The sequence below is a fragment of the Homo sapiens genome, chromosome 22 (genome assembly GCF_000001405.40).
Source record: "Homo sapiens chromosome 22, GRCh38.p14 Primary Assembly".
Classification (NCBI taxonomy): Eukaryota; Metazoa; Chordata; class Mammalia; order Primates; family Hominidae; genus Homo; species Homo sapiens.
In genome coordinates, this window is record NC_000022.11 from 48795789 (window position 1) to 48803092 (window position 7304).

The 7304-nt window shown below is 55.3% G+C and overlaps 1 annotated feature.

Moving 5' to 3' along the window:
* Positions 275-1196: an enhancer, noted in NCBI's record as "H3K27ac hESC enhancer chr22:49191875-49192796 (GRCh37/hg19 assembly coordinates)". NCBI's record gives its function as "activates a minimal SCP1, AML or CMV promoter by ChIP-STARR-seq in primed H9 embryonic stem cells {active_cell/tissue: H9 hESC(primed)}" and the evidence as "EXISTENCE:reporter gene assay evidence [ECO:0000049][PMID:30033119]".

A 7304-nucleotide genomic window follows, 5' to 3' on the forward strand; every position in this document is an offset into this window, starting at 1 on the left:
GTTCTGGATTGGCTCTGGGGAGGTTCTGGGCAGGCTCTTAACTTCTCAGATCCTGGCTGCCTGGGCTGCTCTCTGATGTCTTCAAGCTGTGTTTTGTTTTTTTTTCTTTTTGAAATTTCATCAAGCTATCACAGTTGTTCTTGGCAGGACGGTGAGTCTGACATAAGCTGCCTCAACATAGACAGATGTGTGAGCTCAGGTTTCTGAATTGTGTGTCTCTTGTTCATGGTATCCCCAGCTCCTAGAACAGTGCCTGCAAATAGCAGGAACTCTGCAAATATTTCTTTAGGAACGGGTCTGTGGGTGGATGAATTTGAGGCCATGATACCACGACCAGGCCAGGAGTTGAAACGCCGAACACAGGAGGCCTGCTTTGTGAGCAGAAGCTGATTTTTTTTCCTCCCACCTGTGGGATGTGAGCGACCATGACACAACAGGTGGAGACGCCAAGCAAGTAATTAAAAACTTTTCTCAGGAGCTCGGGAGAGAGCTCTGAGCTGTCCTTAGTTGAGTGGGGGTTGGAAAAGCCTATGCCAGAAATATGCCACATCCCCCTAATTGCGTGGAATCCAGAGCCCCTCCGTCCCGGTGCACCTGGACAATGGAGTGTGAACGTCCATCTGCCTTCTCTTCATGCCTGGAGAGGGCCATGCCAGAGACACAGGGTGGGTGTTGCGTGGGAGTGACTCAAGCTGATTCATCCTGCTGGGGAGGGAGCTGGAGTGGAGCCTCCCATGAGATCTGGACCCTGAAACTAAGGCCATGTGAATTCACTCACTGCAATGAGGGCTGTGAGCAGGGCTATTGCCTTGTTCATTTGTTGCAAAGACTCCCCCAGAAACTTACTCTCATGGAAACATACTTGGATAGAGAAATGCATTCCTCAGAATGATGCAACCGCACCTGAGAACAAAGCCTCAACAGGGGACAAGCCTGCGGCAGACAGGGTGAAGCTCTCCCATTCCACGGGGGCCTTCTCGTTTCTTGGTTGTTACTGTCAGGAACCACCTGGGTCTCTGAATGGTGCCTCCCAGCCCAGCGGCCTCAGAATCACCTGGGCTCTTACAAATAAATACAAACACCTGGTCTGCATTCCAGGCGCAGGGGATCAGGGCCTTGGAGTTGGAGCAGGGACGGGAGTGGACTGAGCGTCTATGGGATGAGAGCTTTGGAGGAGACAGGGGTGCTCAGGTCAATCGGCTGATGGAGTTTGCATGCCTTGGGAATTGCACGTTACATCAAGGTATCTTATTTATTTTATCTATTTTTATTATCTATTTTATTTATTTACCTGTTTATTTTAATGGTTGCTCCCTCCCTCCCTTCCTTGGAGTCTCACTCTGTCACCCAGGCTAGAGTGCAGTGGCACGATCTCGGCTGACAGCAAACTCCTCCTCCCAGGTTCAAGCGATTCTCCTGCTTCAGCCTCCCGAGTAGCTGGGACTACAGGCGCATGCCACCACGCCCGGCTAATTTTTGTATTTTTAGTAGAGACTGGGTTGTGCCATGTTGGCCATGCTGGTCTTGAACTCCTGACCTCAGGTGATCCATCCATCTCGGCCTCCCAAAGTGCTGGGATTACAGGCATGAGCCACTGCACCTGGCCTAATGGTTGCTCTTTCTTTCATGTTGGCCCCAGTTCCCGAGCCCTGGCACTGAGGGGCTGCTGGCTCTAGGACACTCTTAACAGTGAGCCAAGAGGAGCACAGCTGCCTGGCAGGCACGGGCGGTTGTGTGTTCCGGACTCACCTGCATGGTGTGCTGAGGCCTTGCAGTAGGAGTTCAGAGAGCTTCATAGGGAGCAGATGCTTTACACTTCCAGTGGGTTGGTTCCTTCAAGGACGGCACTCTCACACAGCCATGTGCTCCTCCCAGGATGAGACACACTTGGGCACTTCTCTGTTATCTGGAGAAAAGTTTGGTCCAGCAGTGTCTATAAAAAAATACCACAGGCTGGACAGTTTCAACAACAGGAATTGATTACCTCATAGTTCCAGGTTCTGAGATCGAGGTGTTGGCAGGGCGGGGTCCTCCTGCAGCGGTGAGGGGACATCTGTGCCAGGCCTCTCTCCAGCTTCTGGGGTTTGCTGGTGATCTCTGAGGCCCCTTGCCTGTAGAAGCATCACCCCCATCTCTGTCTCCATCTTCACGCGGCCTTTCCCGTATGGGTACATCTGTATGTGCTCAAATGTCCCCTTTGTGTGAGGACACCACTCACATTGAATTAGCGCCACCCTCCTCTGGGATCTTAACCAGTTACATCTGCAAGTACTCTACTTCCGAATAAAGACCACATTCTTACCTCATAGGTGCTTTTTCACATTTGTTCTGCTTGGAATCTGCAGAGACTCTTGAATCTATAACTTGATTCCAAAGTTTCCACACTTCCAGAACAATTAATTGGCCTTTATTTTTGTTCCAGTGTTGCTTCTGTGTCACTGTGGTGGTTCCGAATGTGGCCCCTGTTCTGAGGTTCTAGGGGCTAGGAGTTTCATGTGATTTTTGGGAGGGGACGTAACTCAACCCACCAATTTGGAATCAGAGTGAGACCCCAGCAGGAGTTACCTAGTCCCAGCAGGCATGAGAGGGACGCTCTGCTTCTGTGGGGCCCCGGGGCTGAAGGGGAGGCCCCAAAGCCAGCGCGCCCCAGAGCTGCCTAACGTTGGGGTTCATCCCATGAGGAGCGGGTCTGATGCCCCGGGAGCTGCCTAACGTTGGGGTTCATCCCATGAGGGGCAGGTCTGACGTCATGCAAGGGAGGACCATGTATTCTCCAAGGAGGGCCTCAATAAGGCAACGGTGCACCCCCGTCCAAGGGTCAAGGCCTTCCCCTCTTGGACACCAGACCCCAGGAAGTCAGCCTGTAGGACGATCGTGGATCTTAAAGGGAGGGAGGGAGCTCTCCCTGAAGGAGCTTCGGGGCCAGGATGCAGGCCTCGGGGGCCAGGGACCCTGTGTGGGGCTGCATCCCGAGGGGGCAGGTCCATGAGTGGGACGTGGAGTTGGAGACAGAGCTTGTCCACATGGAGGCACAAGTCCATGTGCAGGGTTGACGGGGGTCAGGACTCCTGGAAACAGGGCTGATGTGGCCAGAATGAACCTGGGACCCCATGCTCAGCTGTTTCTCCTGCTACTCCGCGTAATTTCATGCCCGGTGACTTTGTCTCTTGGCTGCACTCCCGTCTCTGTGGGGCAGCTCCTCCGTGGAGCATCTGTGTTTGTCAAATGTCACAGGCGCTGATCGCTGGGGTCAGGGAGGTGACAGTGCAACAGGCTTGGCTGCCAGTGTGAGAACCGACCTAGAGGTGCCTGGGCATGGATCACAGGCCGGCGTTGAAAGCAGCGCTGTGATTGGTCCCCATGATGGTGCCCACAAGACACCTGTGTTGTGATTTGTTGAGGGAGATTGGGCGGCACAGTCTGTGCTCTGTGCCATTATCAGGGTTGATAGCCCTGGTACCTGCAATCCCACCCATGCTGTTGGAGACCGACGTTGTTTAACAAAACCGTGCAGTAGGAACTGTGTGCACATCCTAAGTGGATGACCATGAGTCACCACCGTTCCTCTCATGCGTAGAATACACGGGTCCGGGGCCCCAGGCGTGGCTAGGATTCCCACTTGTGATCCTGCTCAGTGGTCTGCTTGGGTGATTTTGCTTTCTGTTCCCACAAATACATGCTTGGCAGGTTGGAGGTCCTGTTTCTAAGAATAAACAGTTCCGCACATATCCCAATCGACTTTCACCCGTGTCTTTAGGCGCCCTGCTCCCAGGGCCCAGCAGGCAAGGATAAGAGTTTGGCTCATGGCAGGGGTGGCTGACCCTGCTCCTGGAGGAGGTGGGTGCTGGAGACCCTGGCCTCCGGGAAGAACAGGCTGGGCGCGGTCTTAGCCTCTCCGGGCTGCTATAACAAGATAACACAAACTGGGGGCTTGTAAACAACAGAAAGTTGCTTCTGGAAGTTCTGCAGGCTGGGAAGTTCAGGTCAAGGTGCTGGCCAGGGCTCATTCCTCAGAGACGGTGCCGCCTCCCTGTGTCCTCATATGTTAGGGGGGACTGCAGCTCTCTGGGGTCTCATGTGTTAGGGCACTAATCTCTTGGCCTCATCACCTCTCAAAGGCCCCATCTCCAAATACCATCCTACTGGGGATTAGGTGACAAGGGAAGAGTTTTGAGGGGTCACAAACATTCCATTTGTAGCAGGGTCCCAGGTCACCCACCCGAGTCTGTCTGACTCCTTCCTCCCTTCCAGTTTTGATGCCACATGGGGAGCTGCCCCAGACCCGTCAATTGCAACAGGAGACCCTGAGAAGCCCTGTGGGTGGAGGGTGCACGCCCAGGGACTCCCGTGGGGAGGGAGACCCTTCTTTCCTGCAGCAGCCGGGAGCGGCGGTGGTGACGGCTCCCAGCCGAGCTGCTCTTTGGGAATTGCCCTCCTGGGAAGAGATGGTTGCCACATCCAGGGGTGTGCCCTCTCCCAGGGCAGCCCACGCATCCAGTGGCTGGTTGATCTGGGTAACGGCCATACCTTCGTGCCTCAGGGTGGGCCAGCTCTGCCGGGGATGCAGTTCCAGCACTCCCTGTGGGACTCACAGCTTCCCTGGCTCCTGAATCACAGCTGAGTGCCCCCCTCAGCCCAGGCCTCCCTCCTGTGCTTCCCCACAGGCAAGACCCCAAAGGCAAGCCCCACAAACTCCTCGAATGCAAATCTGTCTCCTGGGGAACCCACCTGAGGCAGGCAGGCTCAGGACGCTCCTGGTGTCTGGTGCTGAGCAACGGGGTGTTCCCATCTCCCCTGCACCTTCACTTTGCAGACCCCTCAGAGTTCCAACCCAGGTGGAGCGAGGTGAGCCGTGTGGCCACGGCACCTGCCTAGAACTGGCATGACAGAGATGCCTCATGGTGGTCAGTGCCAGCAGACACAGGTGGCTGGAGGACGGCGTCTTGGCTGAACAGGGAGGGTGGGGTGCCCAGCCTCAGAAGGGTGAGAGGAGCCCCTCTGGCAGAGAACCCCTGAGCCCAGGCATGGAGGTGAAGGAGGCTCCACGTGGCACTGGCCCCACTCAGGGGAGTGGGCTGGGGCCGTCCCATCCTAGCGCCCATTTTGAGGAGGGTCTCAGTTGGGGCTGAGGGTTCCAGACCAGGACATGCAAATAGAGCAAGAAGCAAAGGAAGCGGGAACAGTGCAGGGAAGGAGCGGGGAGGGTGGTGTGGGTCTGGGTGTCCTTCAGCCGGGTCATGGGATGGAGCCGGAACGTCCCTCCACAGCAGAGTTGGGCCAGGGACTGAGGAGGGGGCCAGGACCTGAGGCACAGTCTCCTGGAGCAGTGGACCCTGACACGCATGTGCATGCCTCATATCATCCCCACCACACACATGCATACAAGCCCATGTGCACACACATATGCACACACACACACAGTTATGTAACCCCATGTGACACCACATGCCCCAACTCCACACCCACACTCATACACACCACACTTCCACACATCACACAGACACACATACATACACACATGCACACAGGCACACAGGCATGTAGCCCCATGCGACACCACAGCCCCCAACTCCACGCCCATATCACCAACACATATACATACCACGCTTCCACATATCACACTTGAAAGCCACAGACACACACACATACATACATGCACACATGCACATAATGCATGTAGCTCCACGTGACACCATACCCCCAACTCTACCCCATGTCACAAACACACATACACACCACGCTTCCACACATCACATAAACCACACAGACACACATGTATACACACAGGCACACACGCACGTAGCCCCACGCTACACCCTACCCCTGTGAAAGGAAAATACATCTTGGGCCCCCCCAAATCACTAAGCTAAAGGGAAAAGTCAAGCTGAGAACTGCTCAGGGCAAAGCTGCCTCCCATTCTATGTAAAGTCACCGCCTGCTCCTATCTGATTGCTTCCTTTGGAGAGGCTCACCAGAAACTCAAAATAATGCAACCGATTGTCTCTCACTTACCTGTGGCCTAGGACCCCCTCCCTGCTTCCAGTTGTCCCGCCTTCACCTCGAGTTGTCCCACCTTTCCAGGCTGAACCAATGTTCATCTTGCATATGGTGATTGATGGCTCATATCTCCCTAAAATGCATAAAACCAAACTGTGCTCTGAGCACCCTGGGCACCAGGACCTCCTGAGTCTGTGTCGAGGGTATGCGTCCTCAACCTTGGCAAAATAAACTTTCTACATTAACTGAGACCTGTCTTAGATTTTCAGGGTTCATACTCCCCAACTCTAACCCTGCATTACACACACACACAGAGACACACACAACACAATTCCACATGTCGCACTCACAAACCACACAGACAGACCGGCATACATCACACATACCAAGCACACACCACACAAAAACCACAAACCAGTCATCACACATCACTCACCACACACCACTCCACATACAACTTGTCACACCCCACACACCCCACACAGTCACCACACATACCACACTACACACACACACACACACACACACACAAACCCTATAATGGTTCATGCTGAAGCAGAGGCCTCCCCCAGAGCACAGAACTGGGCTCACCCCTCCATGTCAGGCCCCACTGCGGAAAGCTGTGGCAGTGTGGAGAGGGGCCCATCTCTAGGGTGGACACCTGGGCTTGCGGCCTTGGCCATCACTGGGCTGCTCTGGGCCTTGGTTTACTCTCTGGTTGAAGGATGGCACTAGGGGATTTGGGGTTTCATCAGCAGAGCCCTTGATTGTCCCTCCCTCCCCCATCGGGCAGTCACTGCGTGCTCCCTCTGTGCCCACACGCGTCACGTTTCGAGGCAGCCTCCATAATCACGATGATTACCTGAGCTCCTCTCATTCTCACCGCAGCCGGCCTTGCAGGGGAGGAGGATGGAGGAGCCCAGTGATGGGTCTGCCTGACTTGCTCGTCTGTGGCTGCCCCACCCCGTCCCATGCCAGAGCCTGGACTCAGGTCTGCCTGACTTGCCCACGGCAGCCATGCCACCCTGCCCCACGCCGGGACCCTCTGTGGGGCTTCAGGACTGCAGGTGCCTGTGGGAGAGCGAGGCTGCAGGCTCCCGACGGCCACTCGAGCTCAGCGGTCATGGTCCCCTCATGCTCTGCTCCTAGACGGGGTCTCTGTTCTCCTGGCTGGAGACAGGAAGCTGGTGCTGAGTGCCACTGCCTGGGGAGACGCCCTCCCTCCCTGAGCCTGCAGTCACCCCCTCAGCTCACTGGCCTTCATCAATCATTCTGTATTTGCTCCCTGAAACATTCATGTTGAGAGG